The following is a 25,442-nucleotide window of genomic DNA, read 5'->3' on the forward strand; positions in this document are numbered from 1 at the left end:
CTTCTCTTGTTCTCTCTCTCTTTCTTTCTTCTTTTCTTCTCTCGTTCTCTCTCTCTCTCTTTCTTCTTCTTTCTTTCTTTCTTTCTTTCTTTCTTTCTTTCTTTCTTTCTTTCTTTCTTTCTTTCTTTCTTTCTTTCTTTCCTTCCTTCCTTCCTTCCTTCTTTCCTTCTTTCCTTCTTTCTTTCTTTTTTCCAAACACAGGATCTCACTCTGTCACCAGGCTGGAGTACAGTGATGTGATCACAGCCCAGCTCACTGCAGCCTTAACCTCCTAGGCTTGAGTGATCCTCCCATCTCAGCCTCTGGAGCAGCTAGGACTATAGGCATGCACCATCACGCCCCACTAATTTTGAAGGGAATGCTGGGAGGAGGTTTTGGAGAGATGGGATTTTGCCATGTTGTCCAGGCTGGTCTCAAACTCTTGGACTCAAGCGATCTGCTTGCCTCAGCCTCCCAAAGTGCTGGGATTGCCAGGCATGAGCCACCGTGCCCAGCCCCTTGATGCTTATTTTTATCCTTAGTTTTCCTGTAGGGAATATTGGGGGAGTGGGTCCCACCAGCATGATTTCTTTGGTCCCTGCTCTTCCCTGGGGACTGATGGGTACTTAGACCCTCTGACATTGCAGACGCTCCCTGCCTGTGGCAAATCACCCTGCCAGATGCCAGTCCCCCAGCCTTTTTCCCTTCAGTCCCCTCCCCTTCCCCACCAGGTCATGTGCAGCTCCCTGAGTGGCATCAGCTAGAGGCAGAATTAACTTGGTTGATCTGATTCCCAAATGCTTGCCTGAAGCACTTTCCAGATGTAGAGGAGATGACATTAGCTAGGTGGTCCATGCTGTTTATTTATTTATTTTTTTAGAGACAGTTCTCACTCTGTCACCCAGGCTGGAGCCCAGTAGCACAATCATAGCTCACTGCAGCCTCAAACTCCTGGGTTCAAGCAGTCCTTCCACCTTAGCCTCCCATGTAGCTGGGACTACAAGCACATGCCAGTATGCTTGGCTAATTTTTTTAAAAAAGTTTTTGTAGAGATGGGGTCTCACTGTGTTGTCCACACTCGTCTTGAACTCCTGGCCTCAAGTGATCCTCCCACCTTGGCCTTACAAAATGCTGAGATTACAGGCAGGAGCCATCATGCTCAGCCAGGCTGTTTATTTTTAATCCATTCCAATCCACGAATCAGATGTGCCTGTGCCTCATAAAGAAGTGTCTGTAAGTCCTTTGGTGGCTGTCCATTGAGTGCCATCCTAGGTGCTAGGGATGGAGAAGGAAACACAACGACAAACATCCCTGTCTTTGTAGAGCTGACCATGAACATATATTAAGTGAAATAGATAGTCTACCAGCTGGGAAAAGCTAGGTGGAGAAAAGCAAAGCAGTTCTGGTTATTGGGAGAACCAGGGGCCAAAGCTGCAGCTTCAAACGGGTGTCCCAAAGCCTCTGAAAAGGTGGCATTTGTACACGCTGAAGGAGGTGAGTGAGTGAGCCTGTGGTGTCTGGAGAGATGGCTCCAGGCAGAGGGATGAGTAGGTGTAACTGCCCCAGGGCAAGTTAAAGTAGGAGTTCAAAGAACAAGTTCAAAGAATAATAAAGTGACTAGGATGCGTCAGGCAGAGTAAGCCAGGAGGAAAAGAGAAAGTGAGTCCCAGGGGTGAATGGGTCCCTTGCAGGCATTGTAAGGACTTTGTACTTTATTCCTAGTGGGATGGGGCATTGGAGTGTTTTGAGCAGAGGAGGGATCTGATCTGACTTTTTTTTTTTTTTTAATAGAATCACTCTGGTTGTTGCATTGAGAATAGACCCTGGTGAGGGTGGGGCAAGGACCAGAGCAGGGAAACCGCTCAAGACTGTGTCAATAATCTCAGTCAGCAATGAAGGTAGCAGATGAAGTTGTCAGGACCAGGTGCTACTTCTGTGGGTATTGAGAAGCAGTTGGGCTCTGCGCTTATTCTGGAGAAAGAGGCAACAGGATTTGCTGATGGATTAGATGTGGGATGTAAAGGCTGACTTCAGGGTTTTTGGCCTGAGCCCTGGAAGGAAGAAGGTGTTAAAGGAACAGGTTTGGGGACAGGGCAGAGATCAGCAGGTCAGTGTGGGATGTGCTATGTCTGCAATGCCCATTGGACAGTAAGTGATGATGTCCAGTAGATGTCCACTGAGATGGAGAGACTATGGAAGGAAAGAGACCTCCACATATGTTCTATCTTTCCATGCATGTAAGAACCATAAGCTGATAGATTACATTATCTACCCATTTTAGAGATGAAGAAACTGAGCATTTTAGGGGTAAATAATGGGCCAAAGCTCACAGGATGCATATGTGGCAAAACAGAATTCAAACCTCAACCCCTATGATTCCAAATTCATTGCTTCTTTCCTCTCCGTCTTGTTGATTCCTCAGTTTTTCAGGAGATTAAAAAAACTAATGGAAAATTGTTAACCAGTGAAAGTTGTCATTGTCCTCCTGAGCTAAGAAAAGAGAACCCCTGCCTGCACCTCAGGACCCCTATCCTTCCCTTGTTCCTGCTGTGTCCTAGGCAGTTTGGGTTGTAAGTGACAATCACATGGGTACTACCTCATGCAGATATTCTTACTTTAATTCCTTCTTCTTCTGACTCTTGGCCCTTTGCTTCTTGAGATGGAAGCTTTTTTTGTGACTCTGGGTCTGTTTGTGTGTGTCTCTCTGTATGTGTTTACACAGTGAAGGCTCAAGCAATGAAAATAGCAGAAGGCTTGACCTTCTGAAATGAATAACCCCAACCTTGTAAATAAATCAACCACTCTACCAGACCAAAAAAGATAATACCTGTAGGGCAATAAATGGGATCATTGTTTTTTGATTTCTTCTTTTTTATGTTCTCTTGACACACAACATAACTTTCTCTTTTGAAAGCAATGTTCTAAGATTGCAACAAACTGTAGTTGAAATTATTTTAGTGAAAGAAAATAATGTCTTAGGGTCATCTAAAGAAATGACTTCATATATCTATTTTACTCTCTTAAATGTTTCTCCCAGTCATGCTGAAGTGGCAAAGATTTTTCTGATTCCAAGTTCCTGCTAACGAAATACATTAACTGTAGAGAGCAGAGATATCTGAGTCTAGTGCAAGCAAAACAAACTGGTTAGGAGAGCTGTACAGATAAAGATAAACAAGATTCTTGGATTCCCAATAATGTGCTTGACCTTATTATTTGGTGCTGTGGTTTGGATGGTGAAAACTCATGGTGAAATTTGGTCCCCAGTGTGACAGTGTTGGGAGCTGAGGACTAGTGGGAGGTGTTTGGGTCATGGGGGCAGATCCCTCATGAATAAACCAATGCCCTTCTGCAGGGGCAGGGGAGTTCTTACTGTCTTGGGACTAGATTAGTTTCTTTGAGCCCCATTAATCTTGAGGGACATGTTCAGACCTAGTTCTGTGATAAACCTATATTTGTGTTCCCTTAACCTTCTAACTCACAGGTTGGCAAACATTAGCCTGAGTGCCTTTTCTGTAAATAAAGTTTTATTGGAACACAGCCACACCTATTCACCAGCAGAATTGAGTAGTTGCTACAAAGAGTATATGGCCCACAAAACTGAAAATATTTATTATCTGGCCCTTTATAGAAAAAGTTGGCTGTTTTTCACAAATACCACAGACACACGATTCTGTCTAGCAAACTCCTAGGCAGCTACAAGGCCTAACTAGAGTATTCTTTCTCCCTTCCAAGTATTAATCAGGCCCAGCCCTGCTTAGCTTCCAAAATCAGACAATATTGGGCATGTTCAGGGTGGTATGGCTGTACACTAGAGTATTCTTTCTCCTGAGAGACCTTCTAGTAGCTACCCAAGCCCAAGGCAAAGCTAACCACATCCTCCTCGGGACCTCCAAGGGGCTCTTAATAGCCAAAAAAAAAAAAAAAAAAAAATCACTGATGTTCATAGAATACAGTATTCTAGACACTGTTTTAAGCATGTCACAGAGATTAATAATTTAACCATCACAGCAACCCTAAGTGGTAGGTATTTTTATCATTATCATTTTACAAATGAGGAGATCAAGGCAGAGAGAGATTACATAACTTTCTTACAGTCACACAGCTGGTAAATAAGTGAGCTGGGGTTTGAACCCAGGTAGTCTGGCAGTCCATTCACCATTTGGCTGCCATAGGCCCTGTCATTATCCCCATTATACAGATGGGAAACAGACTACACAGCATGTATTCTATTGTGTTCTAAGAGAATCCATGTCTGTCCCCAGTTTTTCCTTGAGAACAGAGGTACCCTTCCTCTCCCCACACCCTAGTGCCCAATGCATAGAGATGCTCAGACACACAGAGAAGGGGTCACCTTCTTGACCATGAGCTTTTAGAGACCAGAGAAGTCGTCTGTTCATCATTGGGTCCTCAGTGCCTAGCCCTGTTCCTGCCTCAAAGAAGTTGGGCTCAGCAAGTGGGTCAAGAAGGGAGGAAGTTTTCTGAAAATAGGAAGCCCTCCATTTTTGGCTCACCTGTGCCCTTTCTTCTTTCTAAGCTTACGGGGTTGGAGGTCTAGTTCCTTTCTACACTGTATTGGCTGCTGAGACACAAGGTCTCTGTCTGCTGGGCTCTCACTAGGAAAAGGTCAGCCAAACCTCAGTGCCAGAGTCTATTTACCTTGGCTAGGAGGTGTTCCTTGGGGAAGGAAAGGACATTACCTGCTACACTCACTGGTGTTTAATGTGACTTGGCTGCCTTTTCAAAAGCTTCCATGATTCCACTTAAGGAGGAGTAAATCAGCACAAATTCTGCCAGCACCAGGAAATATATCAGCCAATGGAATTTTACCTCCTTCTACTCCAGTAGGGTTGATCTTCAAGGAAACCTATTTATCGACAAAGACCCCAACTATATTTTTGCACACACAAACAAGGACCATAAAGAATCATTGCCAGAAAGACCGTTGGGAGTCAACTGATGCGTTAGAAAGGAAGGACACTGGAAAAAAAGTTAGCAAAATACAAATGACATTTGATCACCATCAACTGAGTATTTGAGCAGCATCCAAGGGGTGACATTGGCAACAAGGGTGACATGACAGTGTTCAGAGGAAAGGGGGCCCGCTTTCAGGTTGGCTGGGTCAGGGCAGAAAGACTTTTGGGGGAAATAAGATGAAAGCTATGGGGGAGGGGTGGGCTCTCAGTGTGGGAAACGGTGTTTACAAAGGTGCACAGGTGGGAGGGTGGAAGTTGTGGTTCAGGTACAAGAGTACCTTCAAGGAGGGATGGCTGTGATGGTACAGCTAGAAACTGGGTAGCAGATTCAGTGGGTACCGAGCAGTCAAGAGTCTGGGTATCAGAGTCAGACCTGGGCTCAGTTTTCAACCATCCACTTTGCTAGCTGTATACCATTAGCTGGCAACCTAAATCTCTTCGTGCCTGGTGGGTGGTGGAAATGTTCTGTGACTCAGTTGGGGTCATAGTTATAAAAGTTGTTCATTTGTCAAAACTCTTCAAGCAGTATACTTTAAATGGATGTTTTATTTTATATGAATTATATCTCAGTAAAGTTGCTTTCAAAAGAAAAAAAAGTGTGCCCAGATTTCTTTATCTGAATGGCAGAATAATAATATCTACCTCATTGGAAAGGTGTAAGGAGTGACCAAGAAATGCTTGTAAAGTGTTTAACCCAATACTTGGCTCATTATAAACTATGATTACTATCGTTGTGTTACATTGCATAGAACCTCATAAGCCATCACTAAACACTTTGAACTTTTGTCTGATAGGCACAGGGAGCCATTGAAGATTTCTGAGCAAGGAAGCAATCAAAACTTTTTAAAAATTGCAATTATATGTATATATATATAAAATATTATATATTATAAAATTTACCATTTTAACAATTTTTAAGTATAGTTTAGTGGCATTTGGTACATTCATATCATTGTGCAACCATCACCACCATCTAAAACTTTGTTCTGAAGAGAGGAATTGGGCAGGATAACCAAGAGGAGAGAAAAGCTCAAAAAGACCGTTGGAATGCTATTTAGAACAGTGTGTGTAGATGTTGAAGGCCTGAGTCAGGATGAATTTACAGGAATTGAAGAAACATAAAAGAGAACTTACGAAAGAAGCAACCATCAGCACTGGCAATTGATTGAAATTTAATTATGAGAAAGAAAGGAAGAAGTCACAAAGATGACCAAAAAGGAGTACAAAGGCATCTCAAGCTCTCTTGTTAATATTAATACTTTTCTTCACATGTTATTTGGCTTAAGATTCTGGCAGTCCTGTAAAATAAAAACATTCGTACTGATAATAGTGCTGATGAAGGTGTGGTAAGATTGGCACTTAAGTATGTTATTGTGGACACAACCTTTAGAAAACGAATATAGCAATATATGTCAAAGGCCATTTAAAAAACAAATCTTGGCTGGGCACGGTGGCTCACACCTGTAATCCCAGGACTTTGGGAGGCCAAGGCAGGCGGATCACTTGAGCTCAGGAGTTTGAAACCAGCCTGACCAACATCGTGAAACCCCATCTCTACTAAAAATACAAAACCAGCCGGGCGTGGTGGTGCATGCCTGTAATCCCAGATACTTGGGAGGCTGAGGCAGGAGAATCACTCGAACCTGGGAGGCAGAGGTTGCAGTGAGCCAAGTTTGCACCATTGCTCTCCAGCCTGGGTGACGAGCAAAACTCCATCTCACAAAAACAAACAAACAAACAAACAAACAAACAAAACGATTCTTACTCTGATCCCATGCTTCAATTTTCAGGGATCTAGCTATCAGAATAGTACAGAATTCACAGAAGCCATGTGTGTGTTGATATCCATGGACCTCAGGTGTTTTTATGATAGTCCCAAAGTGGAAGCAACCTAAATGTCCCCAACGAATGGAATAGTTTGATAAAATGTGACACTTCTACTAAATGAAACTTTAAACATTGTCTTTTTTTGTTTTTTTTAGAGACAGGGTCTTGCTCTGTCAGTCAGGCTGAAGTGCAGTGTTACCATTATGGCTCACTGCAGCCTTGAACTCCTGGGCTCAAGCGACCCTCAGCCTCCCAAAGTGGTTGGGATTACAGGCATGAGCCACCATGCATGGCCAAACAAACAAACAAACAAACAAAAACATAAAGATGTGTTACAAGACTCCTTTACATAGGGAGGTGCCCTGAGGGATTTAAAATATAGTTAGAAAAAAAAATACATTTTTATGCAACAATTAGGGAATAATAGGCCCATTACAAAAGTGAGCTCCACTCATAGGTGGATCTCTGTCCACAGACTAATTATATCTTTCTCCAGGTGCCTTGACATGACTGAGAGAGCAACCCCCAATTCAAATGAATGTGCACTGGCTGTTGTTTAGTTCCACTCCACCGCCCAGGTTCCTGAAGGCGGGGCTGCTTGAGGAGACTGTGGGTTTGCACTTGCACATAGTCCTGGTCCCTACGGTCAGCAGGGCACATATCATGGGCAAGGAGCAGATGGTGACAATCTGGTCCTGGTCAACAGCTCAACTGCCATCATTGTGACTGGAAATATCCCCTGCAATGGATTGGAGAGGGCATCTTCTATGCACTTTAATAAGAATATTATTCCACCTGGACTGGGGGAGTTGAAACAGATGGTGGCATAGTACTGCCTCTGGACTTCTTAGGCTGTAGGATCAGAAATGATAGTGGTGGGGAGAGAGGGATGTGGATATTTACCAGGTGAGAGCCAACCCAGGAAGCTCTCTCTCATGCCCCTAGGAATCCGACTGGAACAAATGTTCATAGGAGTTAACTGCAAAATAAAAACAACCCTGTCTCCTGGTGCATTTAAATGTATAATGCATTTTTATTTTCTTCATCTCATTACTGCAGTCCTGTGACAGAGGCCAGGCAGGTAGTGTTGGTCTTGCTTCACAGAAGGAGTAACCAAGTCATAGTGGGGCAGAGCAATTTGCTTCTCCATCTATAACAGAGGATCAGATGAGAAAGGGTGCTGGATGTGTTAGCCATATGCAGTGCTTCCAGGCCTGGCTCAGAGCTTTTAAATGATTGTCTCACTTAATTCAGTCTTCACAACCATCCTGAGCCATTGAGAGCCCCTTCCGTAGATGAGAAAAGAGGCTCAGAGAGGTTGAATTGTTAGCTAGGACCAAAGGGCTTATGAGGGGCAGAGCTGGGATTAGAACTCAGATCTGCCAGACTCCAAAGCCATATGGGGGCCACACCTTCCCAGGAGTCATGGTGTGCATAATAATGACTATACATCTGAGTAGGTGGGCCTCTGTGGCTGAGGAATCAGCCTGTCTCCAAGACCAAGGATACAGAGACCAGCTCTCCAAGATCCATTCATTCATCTGTTCATCTGTTCTTCCATCAGCCAAGTGAATGGCTCCTTCGCCCTGAGCCTTGGCACCTCAGTTGTCCTGTTGCTGTGATAGCAGTCCCCACATGCCCAGCCTTCACACCCTGTTCCCCAGGCCTGCTCACACCATCAGTAGATAAGAGGGAACATGGTACCAGAAGTGTGTCATTTCCTTTTAAACGCATTCATTCTTTCACTGGGAAGTCATTCATTTATTTATTCAACAGACATAGCCAGCCCTTCCCTTCATACCAGGCCTTGTGCTAAAAACTGGGGCTGCAAAGGAAGGAAATTCAGTGCTAGCCCTGGCAGAAAGCAGTCCAGTGTGAAGGAAGGACGGGTTAACAACCATGAGCCATTTTCATTCAAGAACTGGATGGCTCATGCCTGTAATCCCAGCACTTTGGGGGTCCGAGATAGGCAGATCACTGGAGGCCAGGAGTTTGAGACCAGCCTGGCCAACATGATGAAACCCTGTCTCTACTAAAAACACAAAAATTAACTAGACGTGGTGGCATGCGCCTGTAGTCGCAGCTACCCAGGAGGTTGAGGCACAAAATTTGATTGAACTTGGTAGGCAGAGGTTGCAGTGAGCGGAGATCACGTCACCGCACTCCAGCCTGGGCAACAGAGTGAGACTCTGTCTCAAAAAAAAAAAAAAAAAAAACCCGGTTGAACCCAGGCGTCAGCCTGTTGGGATCCAGGAAGTTTGAGGAGAAGATTATAAAAGGGAGTGATTGTCTGGGACTTTTTTTCTGTAGAGAAAGAGGTTTAGTCAGAGGGCTGCTGAGCAAGGAGAGGAGAGGAAACCTCTAGTCCATCTCCCCAGGAGATGGCTAGGGCTTTTAAGGGTTTTGGAGTGAGCTAAAGTGTGGAGATCGTGTTGATTGGCTGAAGAATGCAGGGTGAAGTCGTGGGAGAGGGAGATGAAGAAACTGCAGCCTCACGCTGATTCGCTTCCTCTGAGGAGACTTTATAGAATGGTGTTTCTGAAGCCCAGTGACCTTGGATGAGAACTTAGATATCTGAGAGTGGAAGGAATTCCCGCCCACCCGGTCCCGGGCCTGTCAGGCTTCGTGTTCACCTCCACTGACTGGAACCCCCTAATAATGATAATGTCTTGACCATTTTCACATCTGAAAAATTGGGGGTGATGCTGCTCCCCAGGCGCTTGCCACACCCCTCTGTGCTAGGCACTGTTCCTCTCTCCATCTCGCAGGTAGATCAGAGAGACCTGCGTTCTTGCCCAAGACCCCTCGGGAAGGCAGAGAAGATAGCAGGATGTGCACTTGGCATTTCTGGGCTCCAAAGCTAGCACCTTTCCTGCCATACTCACAGGCTTCTCATAATGCCAGTGGCAAGGGCACTTTTCCCACAATCCTATAGTCACTTTGGCCACACCCCCAGTCCCTCCCACTTCTGCTTCTGTGTCCCCTTCACCTCCTTGTCATCTCTGTAGCCTCCTTCATAGACACTTCTGTCTCCCCTGCAGAATGAGTTAACGGCCGCTGTGGGAGGTCTGCCCTGTCCTTCCAGAGGAGGCCAAATCAACCACATTTAACCCAACCAGAAAAAACAAAAAAACAGTGTCTCAGTGAAAGCCAGCATGTTTAGGGGACAGCCACAGGGAAAAACCTAGTGCCACTTGTCTGCCTGTTTATGAGCTTTGTGCCCTTGAGCAGCCACTTGCCTTCCCAGAGATAAACTGCCTTGCCCTGCAGCTTCTGGTGCTGGGTGAGCTGAGGGCAGGGAAGAACTTTGTACTAGCAGTGCCACCAGCCTCAGTGTTTAGTAGGTATTGGTGCTGCTGTTAGGACCAGAATGACACTAGGAAAACAGGAAGCACATTAACCTCCGGGGCAAAAGAGCAGAACGAAGCTTCCCCAGGGCCAAGCCACAGAGAAAAGAAAAAAAAAAAAAGTCTCTTCCTTGATAGAAAATAGAGGGGAGAAGAGTAAGTGAAAGCCCAAAGGCATCACCTGGGGACCGAGGGAGCACTGGGGGGCCTCCCCACTCAGGGTCCTTGCAGGGAAGCATGGGCAAGAAAAACCAAGAGTAGGTAAGTCTCTTTCTGCCAAGCAAGCTCTGTCCCTGTCCCTTCACTGTCATGGGCCAGAGGAGAGCAGAGGACAGCCTTGATGTGCAATGTGGAGGTGCTCTCTGGGGCAGGGCATACCTTCTGTGCAAATCAGGCCCAGGCATGAAGACAGACCCTCTGACAGCACTTGCAGGCAACGTTTTCCCAGCAAACGGAGCTTGCATCTATCCAAAAAGCAGCCCCATGTGTTAGAACCTTCTCTCAGCCTCAGAGGCCGGCCCCTCTTTCACGGGAAAGAAAAGGGCCTGGCATTTCTTGAGGACCCATTTTGTGCTTGGTATCTTTATGTAGGTGCTATTGTTTGAATTGTGTACCTGCCAAAATTCATATGGTGAGGTCCTAACCCCCAGTACCTGAGAAAGTGACCTTGTTTGGAGCTAGGTTCATAGTGGATGGAACTAGTGAAGATGAGGTCATCCTGGATAGTGTGGGCTCCTAATCCAACTGATGTCCTCATGAAAAAGGTGAAATTTGGACACTGACACACACTTAAGAACACCATGAACATGAAGGCGGAGATGAGGAGGATGCTTCTACAATACAACCAGGAAATGCGAAGCATTGCCAGCAAAACCCTAGGAGCTGGCAGAGAAGCCTGGAGCAGATTCCTTCTCACAGTCCCTAGGAGGAGCCAACTCTGCAACACCTTGAGTGTGGTGTCTAGCTTCCAGAACTAGGAGACAAGAAATGTCTGTTGTTTAAGCCAGTAAGTGTAGAACTTTGTTATGACAGTGCTTGGAAGCTAATGCAGTATATTACCTTCTTAGACCTAACAGCACTACACAGGGAGGTATTAGGATACTCACTTTACAAAAATAGGAATTGAGCTCAGAGACGGCAAGTGAGAAAAGAACGTGGGTAAGAGCCCAGCTTTGCTCAGCTTTCCAGGCTCATGGAGAGTGAAGAATTCATATGAGCATTGGATCCTGAGTCTTGGTTGGAAGTCAAGGAGATCTGAGAAGCACTGTGGGGCTCCCAGGTCAGCAGTTGGCAAGCTAGGATCTGGGCCTATGAAATGAGCCTGCTGAGTCCCTCACCCCACCCACGGTAAAAGGGGCTCTGACAGAAGAGCCGGGACCTTCCCAGATGATCCTGGGCTGAGTCTGCTGGTCAGGGATCTGGGAAGGCAGGAATAAGGAGGTAGGAGCTGGTCAGGAATCAAAGGGACTCCCTTCATGAGCTGACCAAAGGCCAGGGCTGTTTTGCACATGGCCCAGGGTAGAAGGCCTCTCCCAGCCTAGACCGGGTATGGCCAGGGAGCCAAATGGCCCAGAGATAAGACTTAGCCTCACAGGTGCCAGGAGCCAAAAGGTCACGGGAGTTTCTGTAAGAGCCTAAGCAACCCTGCCTCTGGCTCTCTTTAATATTCTTCTTCAGGGAGCTTTCGGAGCCTGGGCATCTCCTCCACTGCTCTGGAATACCAGATTATTCCCAACAGGCCTTCCACAGCCCTCGCCACCTCCCTTGGGCTTCAGCAGCTTCCCCAGGTGGCACCTCCCCTTCCTACTGAGGGCTCTGCGCTGCAGCCGCCTGTTCTCCCTCCCCTGTTTCCACAGTTAGGGGAGTTCATCCTCTTACCACAGGGCCCCGAGGATCATTCTTAATCAAAGCACGGCAAGATGGCATTGCAGTCCCCCTGGAGCCTGCAAAACAGGCCTTTTAAACTCTGTCTCCTACCACGGGACTGTGGGGGATGCAGGTGAGCTGTCACTAAGAGAGCCAGGGAAATGCAGGTATAGGGAGAAGTGGCTGTTGCTTCTCAGCAACCAGGGGAAGGTAGGGGGTGGCCAGGACGCCCAGCGCCCAAGGAGTCCTCTCCGGTGCTTATAGACTGAGGCTCATCCACCCCAACAGTATCCTCAGGAACGCCATGCCCTCTCCCTTGGTAGTGGGGAATGGGGAGTGGAAAAAAGACATGACTTGCAGCTGGAGTCGTTACATTTGGCCTTAGCATCGTCTCCTGCCAGGCCACTTAGCCAGTGTCCAGCCTGTTGGGGGAAGCCAGGCCTACCTGCACGGGCTCAGCCACGCTCTGGTGTTCCCGCGTTCGTGTGCTCTGCAGGCAGAACAGACTTGAGGCAGGCAGCAGTGGGGCTTGGGCCAGATTGTCCCCCAAGCCCCAGCGGGGATGGCCCGGCAGGCCAGTCCCAGCTGGAGGGAGGCCTGCAGAGGGGGCTCCTAGCTGCCACTGTGTGCTGTTCATAGTCCCTGGATTGGGTATGATTAGAACCAGTATAGCCATCCTGGGACTCCATCCCTAACGGGGGCCAGAAGGGCATCAGAGAGGCTAGGACTGGCTGCCTCCTTCCATGCCCACCTCCAAGTCACAGCCAAACCCCACAAACACCTCTCAGGGCCTGCCCTCCATGAATACCCCCTGAACTTCAGGGAAGCCCTTCTGTATCTACAGCTGGTATTGCCTCTTGGGGTATGGTGAGGTCCACCTCGTTCCTGGCAGCTTCTCATTGTGCCTAACATAAGCACCCAAGCCCTGGGTCTCAGTGCAGCTTTGCCCAGGTCACATAACTCTTCCCTGCCTCTGTTTTCTTGTCTGTAAAATGGGTATGATAAGAGTAACTACCCCATAGGGTCATAGGGTTATTGCGAGGATTACATGACATAAGATATTAAAGTATTTAGAATGGCACATAGTAAGTACTAAATGAAAGTTAACTGTAGAATGATGAAGATGGTGATGATGATGTCTCAGTCCCCTCAATTCTGCCACTGTTGCTGTTACTACTATTATTGCCCCATGACTGTTAGTGCCATTATTACTATCGCTATCATTTGTGCCGTACTAATACCACTGCTAGGATAAGCACTGCCCTCCAGCGTGTGCATAACAATGTTGGGTTTAGAAAGCTTTCAAGACTTTAATGGCTCCCCATTCATGAATGCAGCGGTCAAGGTTTTTCCTATTCTAGCGCTGCCTGCATCTCACCTCTAACTCCTGCCTTATCTCCAGGTACACCCTGTCTCCCAGCACTCCCACCAGGTGTGCATCCCTCTGCCCCACTTTCTCCCTCAAACCAGACCAGCTCCTTCTTCCTTCATTATTAATCCCCCCTTTAAAAATTACACATTCCTGAAGTCTCGGCTTTCATGTCACCTGTTTGATTAAATCTCCCTTGGAATTCTTTCCATGGGAGAGGGCAGGGGATATAAAGATGCAAAATGAAAAGTCAGTTTTGGTTAGAATCAGGGATTTTGGTGTCCGGGATGGTAGCATAAATGGAGGCAGCAAAGATGACCGATAAAACATTGAGAGCTTGTCTGGGGTTAAGCCAAGCCAGGAGCCTGAAGTGACCAAGTCTGCCTCTGAGTGGCTTAGATGAATTCTGCTAAGCACCTTAGAAGAAGACGAAGAAGCATGGGTTACTGAGCATCTACTGCGTGTCAGGCACTGTTCAGATATGGAGACATACCAACTCATACAATCCTCACCCCAACCCATGAGGTAGATGCTGTTATCATCCCCACTTTACGGAAGAGGAAACTGAGGCACGGAGAGGTTCATTAATTTAGCCAGAGAGTCAATAAGTAACAAAGCTTGTATTTAAACTGGGGCAGCCTGGCTGTAGAGCCCATCTACCTAACCACTGCTCTGTCTTATTGTACCGTGATTATTGTTTCTATTTCAATTTCCCCTCTCCCATCTTTCTTTCATTCTGTTCCACTTACCCTCTAGCCCTAGGTGTGAACTTAAGGTAGTAGGAATCAAGTCATCTCTATTCATTAATTCAGCACATTTTTCATGCCCACCACCTGGAGATATACATTGTGTGAGTATATGGCAAGTACTTTGAACAGTGCCTGGCACATAGTGGGTGTCAGCTCCTACCATCATCGTTACCTCCACCATCATCATCACAACCGCCACCATCACCATCCCCAACTTTATCCTCAATACCACCACCATCACTATCACCACCATCACCATCCCCACCTCTACGCTCACCACCACCACCATCACTATCATCACCACCACCATCCCCAACTTTATCCTCAACACCACCACCATCACTATCACCACCATCACCATCACCACCATCACCATCCCCACCTCTATCCTCAACACCACTGTTATCATCACCATCGCCACCATCATCATCTCTACCATCATCATCATCACCACCATCACCATTATCAACATTATCATCATCACCACCATCACCATCATCACAATTATTACCACCATCATCATCACTGACACCCCCACCACCATCATCATCACCACACCATCCCACCACCATCATCCCACAACCAACAGCATCATCGTCACCACCATCATCATCATCATCACCACCACCATTATCATCATCATCTATATCACCTGCACAGAACCTGACACTAAGAAGGTTTTCAGTAATATTCTGTTGGATGATGGATGATGAGGCATTTCTCGCAATCATTCTCTGTCCTGGGAGGGACAGCTTTTCAGTGTCAGAAAATCGATGTTCTTATTCTCTAAATCCCCAGAGAAGCCATTTTCTGCCCATCTTCTTCTCCTGAGATGGTGGGCACATCCTTCCTTCTCCTGGAAGTGACTCATTGACTCATTCCCACCTCAACTCTCTGACCTCACTGGGAAGGAGTGATTTTTCCCTCCTCCACATGTCAGGACGTGGAGCCTGACCTTGCTGTGTAAGCCCCTCTCCTTTTTTCCCATGTCAGGAGGGCATTGAGTCTGAGGCACATCCTGGAAGCAGAAGACAGGCTCAGAACAAAAACAGAAATGGAAGGTGGTGAGGCACCCTGGGGTGGAGGGCAGCACTGGCCCACAAAGTGATGTCTTCAATGGGCTGAGAGGAAGGAACGCCAACAGCATTTCTGAAAATAAAATGCCAGAAAAAGTGATTCAGATGCAGAGAGGAGTTACAAGGAAGAAAGTTAGGAGAAATGGCATTCTTTGGTCATCTCTTTATTTCTGCATTAAATTCTGGAATTTACCCAGAGGGGAGAAAAGGCAAAGGCCGAGGAAGGTGTCTTGACTGAAAACAGATCCTGAGTTTTAAAGTGAAATTAGATGTCTGGACTTCTAGGAAGATAAGCGATGCTCATTTCAGAATGACACCATCAGGCCCCCCAGCACCCTGAGGAGCCTCGTGAAGCTCAGTCTCATTTCAGAGGATATTCATTTTCTGTGGCTACTGCTAGAACTCACTACTGCAAACTTAGCGTCCTAAGACAACAGAAATTTATTCTCTTACAATGATGTAGGTCAGAAGTCCAAAATGGGTCTCATGGAGCTAAAATTAGAATCCATTTCCATGCCTTTTCCAGCTTCTAGAGGCCACCCACATTCCTTGGCTCATGGACCCATCGTCTTTAAAGCCCACAACGGTCAATTAGGTCTTGTTCTCATGGCATCACTCTGACACTGAATCCCCCACCTCCCTCTTCCAGGTTTAAAGGACCCTTGTGATAACATTGGGCCCACCTAGAAAACCCAGGATACTCTCTGTATCCCAATGTCAGATGATTAGCAGTCTTAATTCCACCCACTACCTTGACTCTCTCTTGCCATGTAACATAGCATATTCAAAGGTTCTGGGGACTAGGACATGGACATCTTTGGGGACCATTATAATGCTGACCATGCCATGTTAGGAACATAGTACTATATTCTGATTCTTTCAAAATTGGTAAATCATTTCTGAAAGTGGCTGGAAGTAGCCATTATCCAGAAATTGAGTTAAACCAAGTCAGTGTGACCTTAGGAGAGTGACTTAGCCTTTCTGGGTCTTTTTCTCAACTCTATGATAAAAGTTTAGCTGTAAACTCTTGGAAGGAGGGACCATTGCCCTCTCATGCCCAGGTCTTGGCACACAGTAGGCACTCAGGAAATGTTAGTGGCTGACTCGGGGGAGCTGGATTTAGCATTGTCCAAGGCTTCCCAGCATTCAAGTCCTGTGATTTCATGACTTACTGGTTCTAAATAACACAGTACAAACTTTCAAAATGGGTAATTACATCTGTGAAGAAATGACCCTGGGCAAAAAGTGTGTCATTTTTCTCGGTAGCACAGTGCTGCGTACTAGAAGGCATTTGATTACACACACAGAGAGACACACAAAGAGGGAAGCTGTGTGTGTGTGTGTGTGTGCGTGTGGTGTGTGCCTGTGTGCAAACTTCAGATTGTAAAAATTCTCACCTAACCAGCAACTGGAGCTCCCTGAACAAAGGCTCTCTAATAAATTAACTCACGAATTTGCCCTGTGTATTCGTCTGTTTTCACACTGCTATAAAGAACTACCTAAGACTGAGTAATTTATGAAGAACATTGTTTAATTGACTCACAGTTTTGCATGGCTGGGGAGGCCTCAGGAAACTTACAATCATGCTGGAAGGTGAAGGCCTTCTTCATATGGCGGCAAGAGGGGGCAGGGGGACTGCCAGACACTTTTTCTTTTCTTTTTTTTTTTTTAAGATAGAATCTCACTCTGTCACCCAGGCTGGAGTGCAGTGGCATGATCTTGGCTCACTACAACCTCTACCTCCCAGGTTCAAGCGATTCTCCTGCCTCAGCCACCCAAGTAGCTGGGACTACGGGCACGCACCACCATTCCCAGCTAATTTTTATATTTTTAGTAGAGACAGGGTTTCCCTATGTTGGCCAGACTGGTCTTGAACTCCTGTCCTCAAGTGATCTACCTGCCTTGTCCTCCCAAAGTGCTGGGATTACAGACATGAGCCACTGGGCCTGGCTGCCAAACACTTTTAAACCATCAGATTTCATGAGAGCTATCCCACTCTCATGAGAACAGCATGGGAGAAACAGCCATGGAGGAAATCACCTCCCACCAGGTCCCTCCCCTGACATGCGGCGATTACAATTTGAGATGAGATTTGTTGGGGACACGGAGCCAAACCATATCACCCTGGTAGGACAAGCTCTATTTATTTGTTGTGGATCCTGCTGCGCTGAGGCCTGGCTCCTCTGCTAAGAGTGACCACTGGTGAGGGAAGAGCCTGCGCCCGCTCCCCAGGACTGGGGTGGCAAGCACCCTGCTGCCCTCTCCCTGGCCCCCCATGACCTCTTCGTTGTCTGGATTGTGCTTCCCCATGCCCACCCCCAGGTTGCCCTCATCTGTTTTCAACCATCTAGTCTCGAGGGTGCTTCCAGGCAACCAAGATAGGCTGCTGCCCTTTGATTCTCTCCTGAGCAGTCTCTCCATTAGTTTGACTGCTGGTCATGATTAGTGCAGCGCCTCACTTGGGTTACAAAGTCTGTTCAAGCCCTAGCTGACACGTGTATCAGCAGTGTGACCTTGGACAAGTCACTAAAGGCTCTGAGCCGGTTACCCCCCACTCTCAACCCCTGCCTTCTACCAGAGTTTCCTCCCTGCCCTGCTCAGGCCACGACTGTGTAAACCAGGGGTCTTCCATCTCATGGCTGCACATGAGAATCCACCTTTTTTTAAAAACAAGCACCCAAGAATGATTCTACTGCAGGCAACAAGCAGACCCCACTCCGAGAAGCTGTGCTCCCACCCGGCCTGGCTACAGTCTTTTGTCACCCGGAAGACTGCAGCCCAGCCTTGTTCACTCTGTGCCCAGATTATTTCTCTTGCCTCTGTTAGAGCCTTTAAGTGGCTCTTCATTAATCTTAGAATAAAATCTAGACTTTTTAACATGCCTTATGAGACCTTTCCTGACTTGGCCCCCGCCTTTCTCTGCAGCGCAAATTCTGAAGCCAAACAGACTAGGTTCTAGTCCTAGCTCTACCTATTGCCGGCTCTGTGACCTTGGGAAAGTAACCTAACCTCTCTGTGCCTCAGTTTCATCATCTGTAAAATGATAACAAATAACAGCAACAATAATAATAATAACAGCAACTGCAGAGGGATGTTGTAAGGATTAGAATGGTTAATGCATGTAAAGCATTAACATTGAATAGTGCTTGGCTCATAGTAAATGCCATATAAAGTCTTAACTCTGGTTTTCATCAGTATTATTATTATCTTGCTGCAACCCTGGATGGATGTGGACATTCCGTAAGACAACCTGCTGTGGGAGAAGAGGTAGGGATCCCAACCATTTGGGGCAGCTTGTTGGAGGAAGTGGCATTCAAGTTGTGCCTTGAAGAACAGGTAGAGATGCTCCCAGTAAAAAAAAAAAACAAGAAAACAAGGGAGGATGGCTGGGCGCGGTGGCTCACATTTGTAATCCCAGCACTTTGGGAGGCCAAGGTGAGTGGATTGCTTGAGGCAGGAGTTCGAGACCTGCCTGGCCAACATAGTGAAACTCCATCTCTACAAAAAAATACAAAAATTAGCCCAGTGTGGTGACATGTGCCTGTAGTCCCAGCTACTTGGGAGGCTGAAGTGGGAGAATCACTTGAACCCGGGAGGCAGAGATTGTAGTGAGCTGAGATCACGTCACTGCACCTCAGCCTGGGTGACAGAGTGAGACTCCATCTCAAAAACAAAAAAAAGAAAGACAGCCTGTTCAAGTGTGAGTTTGCCTGTTCTGGAAAAAAAAATGTCCAGGCACATGTCTGGGATCAAATGAGATAGAGCGTCCATAGGTGGGGAAACACCACGGAGCCCTGAATCATTTGGTTTTGTCTTGTGGTTTTTCTGGTCTGTAATGCGAATGTGATGTGTTGGGGTCAGGCTTGGTGAGGGGAAGCGATGGGGCAGAAACTGTGATTTGAGTCAACTCAGAGGTTCTCAACCTGGAGGTACATTGGAATTACCATGGAGATCATTGAAAAAATGCCACTGCCTGGGTGATGTCCCCAGAAATTTTCACTTAATTGGTCTGGGGTGGGACTGGGCATTGGTACTTTTTTTTTTTTTTTGAGATAGAGTCTTGCTCTGTCACCCAGGCTGGAGTGCAGTGGCACGATCTCAGCTCACTGCAACCTCTGCCTCCTGGGTTCAAGCGATTCTTGTGCCTCGGACTCTGGAGCAGCTGGGATTACAGGTGCATGCCGCCTTGCCTGGCTAATTTTTGTATATTTTTTTTAGTAGAGATGGGGTTTCATCATGTTGGCCAGGCTGGTCTCAAACTCCTGACCTAAAGTGATCTGCCTACCTCAGCCTCCCAACATGCTAAGATTAAAGGTGTGAGCCACCGTGCCCAGCCAGCATTGGTACTTTTTAAAACTCCCCACGTTATTCTCATGCATCCTTAATGGGATCTGAGGCAATATAGCACCACCAGCGTGAAAGATGGTTCTTAAGACCCCCACAAAATGTGGGTATTAGAATGATTTGTGACCCTCAAAACGGCCACAGTACATAAACATATATACAGTGTATTTATAATATTAAAATGTCATGAAGTGGAATGTTTTAAATCGGGGTCCCCAAACCCCAGCCCACAGACTGGTACAGGTCTGTGGCCTGTTAGGAACTGAGCCACACAGGAGAAGGTGAGCAGCGGGCGAGCGAGCATTACCACCTGAGTGCCGCCTCCTGTCCGATCAGTGGCAGCATTAGATTCTCATAGGGGTACAAACCCTACTAGGAAGTGTGCACGCGAGGGATCTAGCTTGTATGATCCTTATGAGAATCTAATGCCTGATGATTTGAGGTGGAACAGTTTCATCCTAAAACCATCCCTGGCCCCACGACCCACCAGTCAGTAGAAAAACTGTCTTCCACAAAACCGGTCCCTGTTGCTAAAAAGGCTGGGGACCGCTATTTTAAATTATAGTGTCTTGACAGAAAATTTGAAGTACAGTAAGGCCAATGGATCAGGAGACAATTACCATTGAAAAGAGTTTGTTACTTACAGTTCCCAAGAGGAGGGGACATGCCAGGCCTTATAGGGTCACATGGGGAAGCACCAGGGTTGGTCAGGGGGCAGAAGGAAACCATGGGCAAGAGCCTTTATTATCGTTTCCGAGGGAAGGAACGGGTGAGGCAGAGAATCCAGGTTTAGGATTAGCTAATTAGAATAATTTCAGCAGGCTCTGAGGCATAGGGACTGCCCCTAGTTGCCTGGTGCCTGGCCCTGGAGAGATTAGAGCAGTTGGATAGTGGCCCAGAGTATGACAGCCCCATAGACATGGTGGCTGGGGTGTGGGCTTTGGATGGGTCAGTTTACATTTGAAAAGTGTGCTTGCTGGCAGGTTGTTTACTGTCCCTAGGAATTGGCTAACCTTGAGTGGGGCCAACCCTGGGGACTGCCCTCCAGGGTCAGCAAGGCCCCAGGTGTCAAAGCATCAGAATACAGACAATAAAAGGCATGGATAAGGCCAGTCGAGGTGGCTCACACCTGTAATCCCAGCATTTTGGGGGGCCGAGGTGGGAGAATCCAGGAGTTTGAGAACAGCCTGGACAACATGATGAGACCCCGTCTATACAAAAAATCAAACATTAGCCAGGTGTGGTGGTTCACGCCTTCAGTCCCAGCTACTCAGGAGGCTGAGGTGGGAGGCTCACTTGAGCCCAGGAGGTCGAGGCTGCACTGAGCTGTGATTGCGCCACTGCCCTCCAGCCTGGGTGATAGAGCAAGACCCTATCTCAAAAAAAAAAAAAAAAAAGAAGAAGAAGAAGAAGAAAGAGAAAAAGAGAACTGGTTAATACAGTGGGGTGGCGGTGGAGAGGAGGGAAGAAAATGTCCAAAAAGGCTTCTTGGGGTGGAAGGGGTGATAATAAAAAGTTGAGAAACATTGAGTTATATCTGGGCTACTTTCATGTAGTTTTTGATGCAACTCCCAGAACAGGTGCTAGGAGAAAGCCTCTCTCCAGAAGCATCCTTATCTTTCTCCTTGGCTGGATAGGGCCCTGCTTCCCCAGCAAGGGCTGTGTGCTCCCTTCCCCAAGGGCTCCTGGCCTTGGGAAAAAGGTGCAGTACCTTTTAACAGCAATGACAAACGAGAATTTAGAGTCCTCCTGTGGTTTATTTTACTCTGTAATCAGCTCCTGAATTTGGCCTAATGGGATTCTAATGTTTTTAAAAGACAATTTAGTAATCTTTGTATTTTTGATGGATTGTGGAAGGCCTATTAGTTCTTTATATCAGTGTGCACATGCATGGCTGCAAATGGTAGATTTATGCTTTTACGTGCCATTAACATCTACACTACGTTAACAGCAGCATTTAGTCAGCTCTCAAAAACATGGCCTAATCTCCTCCATGCCCGTAAACACACACACACACACACCCCTCTCTGTCATTGCGTGTGGTCAGCCACAGGATATTTCAACTTATTAAACATTCTAGTGAATAGTTCCTCACTATATCATATCAAATAAATAATAAGTCTATAGTCACCAGGCTGTTTAATTAAAGATAATCAGTCTTTGAAGACTTAGAATACAATTAAATATACTTAACACGAAGGCTTGGTTGAACATGATTTAATCTTTCCTTTCTTGGGTGACTCAGGATCTTCCAGGCCCTAGGGACTTTCATTATGAATATAAATGATCCTGGTACTCTGCAGAAGTTCCATTGGAAAGGGATTTTCAGTTGGAAGCGTGCCAGATACACCAGTCTCCACTATAGAGGGTATCCTTGCTATTACCTGGAAATGGTTTTGAGACATCCCTGGGACAGGACAAATGTGAATGTTTGTCCTTGGCATAAAATGCTTCTGACAGCTGGTGTGAAGTCTCTCCATTTCTTCCAGCCCCCTTTGATTTCTATAACAGGGAGAAATCCTCAGTGGGGTGCTCACTTGCTATTAACACCTTTCTTTAACACTTAGTAATCTTTATTTTTTACCATGAACTCTACCCAGGACTCATTCATTAACTCAACTTGTGTTTATTAAACAAGTGTCAGTGAGACACAGAAGTGGAGAGCTGGTAACAGGAAGAGGCACAGCTACATTTATTTCAGGGAACATAATGCATACTCAAATAGTGAATCCAAAAGTTTTCTTAAATGGATGTATACCTCCATTCACCCCTAACTGCCCATCACCTTCCTCTTCCCTTTCTAATGTGACTACCTTCACCATTTGAACCACAGTCAGGTACTTAATGAATCAGAATTAAAATTAATCTGGGAAATAAGTAGCTAAAAAAATAGCCTCGAAATATCTTTCAGAAAGGAGACGTAATGAATCAGGACCAGCCCTACCTAATTTTAAAGCATTTATGAAACTACAATAATTAAGCAGTGTGATTCTGACACCGAGAAAAACTAGATCAGTGGGATAAAATAGGAGATATTGCTGTGTTCTCAACGACATCTGGAGATGAGCACACATGATGAAGTGGAATTATTTTAAATCAGTGAGGAAAAGGTGGATTATTCAGCAAATATTGGCTCGATTGGTTAGTTACTTGGGGAAAACAAAAACAAAAACTGGATCCCTACCTCATGCTAGACAGATCAAAGGTTTTTTTTTTTTTAAGTGGGGGTTGTAGTACAGATTATTTTGTCATCCAGGTATTAAGCCTAGTATTCATTAGTTCTTTTTCCTGAGCCTCTCCTTCCTCCCACCGTCCACTCTCCAATAGGTCCCAATGTGTTTTGTTCCCCTCTATGTGTCCATGTGTTCTCATCACTTAGCTCCCACTTATAAAGTGAGAAAATGCAGCATTTAATTTTCTGTTTCTGTGTTAGTTAAGGATAATGGCCTCCAGCTCCATCCATGTTCCTGCAAAGGACATGATCTCATTCTTTTTTATGGCTGCATAGTATTCCATGGTGCATATATGTACTACATTTTCTTTATCCAGTCTACCACTGATGGGCATTTAGGTTGATTCCATGTCTTTGCTATTGTGAATAGTGCTGCAGTGGACATATGCATGCATGTGTCTTTATAATAGAGTGATTTCTATTCGTTTGGGTATACCTAGTAATGGGATTGCTGAGTTGAATGGTATTTCTGTTTTTAGGTCTTTGAGAAATCGCCATACTGTCTTCCACAATGATTGAACTAATTTACATTCCCACCAATAGTGTATATGCATTCTGCAACCCAAAGTTTTAATAGTAAAAATGTAACTAAAATTACCAGAAGAAAACATGGTTAAGTTTTTAATAATCTTGAATAGGTGGAGGGCTTTCTGAATGTAAACCCAAACTCAGAACCCATAAAGAGAAAGACCAATAACTTTGCCTGCATTGGATGAAAATACTTCTACTTAAAAAAATACTGTAAGCACACTCAAAAGGCAGTTGAAAAACTGGGAAAACATGTGTGCATGACACATGTCAGGCAAAGGGATTATTTCCTTAATATAGAAAGAACTTCCACAAACCAGTAAGAAGAATTTGATATTTCTATAGAAAACTAGGCAAATGATATACAAAAGCCACTCACAAAGGAAAACAGATGTTAATAACCATGAAAAAAAAAAGGTCTTTCTTACAGTTACATGAAATCAAATTAAATTAGATACCATTTTCCAGCTTTGACATTGGTCAGGGAATGGTGTATGTACAGGTACTTTTCTCAAGGCAGTTTACACAGTTGTGTTTGTACATTTCTTTGTGGGATTATTTGATGTGTGTTTGTCCTCCCAGCTAGACTTTAAGCTCTATGAGTTTAGGGCTTGTATGGTGTTTTTCTCATACCTTTATCCCCTGTAGAACCTGCACATTGTTTGGACTTAATAAATATTTGTTGAGTGAGTGAATGAATTGATGCATGAGAATACATAGAAAGTTCTGGAATCTTACACAAGAAACTAATAATAGGGGTTACCTCTGGAGAGTGGGATTAGGTCCAAGGAGAGGAAAAGAGGTTGCTTTCAGTTTATTGTTTTATCTCTTTCTTATTATTGAAGTTTTAAAAACAGGCATGGATAATTTTGTGATTCATATTTTGAAAATAGCTTACATGTTTAAAATGAATGTTCAAGATGGCAGTGAAGAGAGGGTGTAAAGAGGCCAACTTCTGATGCACCACATTATCTCAACATGTTGATAGGGAATCAGAGGGTCAGTCTGGGATGGAAGCCCTCAGGAGAGTGCTGAGGGGCAAGGAGGATACAGCCAAGAGTCCTGGTCAGCCACCCCTAAGGGGCTGGTTGAGCTCTAGAGGCACAGGCAGAGATAAGGAAGAAACAAGTGGGTGTTGAGAGTCCAGGGAAGCAGGAGAAGTCAAGTTTGAGATGTCTGCCAAGCCAGAAGAGATCCACAGGCAGCATTCTGAGTCCAGGAGATCTGAGAGGCCAGGAATGATATGGGGCGATGCACTGGTCTGGGTTTGCTGGCAGCCCGAGCAGAAAGTGCCGTTCTCTGCCTCTGTCATCCCTCCCATTGACTCCCTCCCTCTGATGGTTATTCTGGCCAGAACACCAGCAATGAATCCTGACTTCACGCAGGCACCAGAATTGATTCCTAAGGAATTCAGCTGCCTCCTCCCAGTGATATACGAGCCCCTCAGCAAAGCACTTGAGCCCCTCGATGCTCCCCTCCATGATCTGGCCCCTGCCCACCTCATGGGAATTCCCTTCAACTCAGTGTGCCAGCCACGGCCAACTTCTTACAATCCCCACAATGCACCATGAGTTTTCTTGCCTCTGTGACTTGGCTTTTTCTGTTCCCTCCAGTTTGGACTTCCCTATGCCCTCCTCTTCCCCACCCCCTAGCCAGGTCACCTAATGACCATCAGCTCGTCTTTCAATCATCCTAGGTCAGCTCAACAATGAAGGCTTTCCTGACATGCCACCCAGGTGGAATATCCAATTTCTGTTTGTGCCATCAGTGTAGCATGGATGGACTTCTCTTAGAGTACCTGTAACACTCATGAACATTGTACCTATTCCACTACATTGAGAGTTTCTCAAGGGGAAGATCTATGTTTTAATTTTCATTGAAGTCCTAATCTGGCACATTATATTGAGTAGATTGATGGAAGGGTAGAAAGATGGATGGATGGATGGATGGATGGATGGATGGATGGATGGATGGAAGAGTAGATGTATAGATGAATAGATAGATGAATGGAAGTTAAGCTCCAAGAAGGAAGCTCCTTTGTTTTCTCCTGTATCTCCCATTGCTTAGCACAATGAGTAGCACATAGGAGATGCTGAAAAAAATTGTTTAGTTAATTGAAGGATGATCAGACATATGGACGGAAGTTTGGATG

General features: G+C 45.8%; 1 protein-coding gene and 1 pseudogene across 6 annotated transcripts in view, besides 2 other annotated features; one reads left to right on the forward strand and one right to left on the reverse strand.

Moving 5' to 3' along the window:
- ABTB3 (ankyrin repeat and BTB domain containing 3) overlaps positions 1-25,442 on the forward strand; it is a 341,209-nt gene that overhangs the window by 164,414 nt on the left and 151,353 nt on the right. The window lies entirely within an intron of this gene.
- RNA5SP371 (RNA, 5S ribosomal pseudogene 371) lies at positions 3,664-3,788 on the reverse strand (annotated as a pseudogene).
- Positions 9,746-9,835: an enhancer, noted in NCBI's record as "active region_6953". NCBI's record gives its function as "activates an Ori minimal core promoter by ATAC-STARR-seq in GM12878 lymphoblastoid cells {active_cell/tissue: GM12878}" and the evidence as "EXISTENCE:reporter gene assay evidence [ECO:0000049][PMID:35858748]".
- Positions 13,012-13,550: an enhancer, noted in NCBI's record as "NANOG hESC enhancer chr12:107889636-107890174 (GRCh37/hg19 assembly coordinates)". NCBI's record gives its function as "activates a minimal SCP1, AML or CMV promoter by ChIP-STARR-seq in naive H9 embryonic stem cells {active_cell/tissue: H9 hESC(naive)}" and the evidence as "EXISTENCE:reporter gene assay evidence [ECO:0000049][PMID:30033119]".

Source organism: Homo sapiens, chromosome 12 (assembly GCF_000001405.40).
Source record: "Homo sapiens chromosome 12, GRCh38.p14 Primary Assembly".
Classification (NCBI taxonomy): Eukaryota; Metazoa; Chordata; class Mammalia; order Primates; family Hominidae; genus Homo; species Homo sapiens.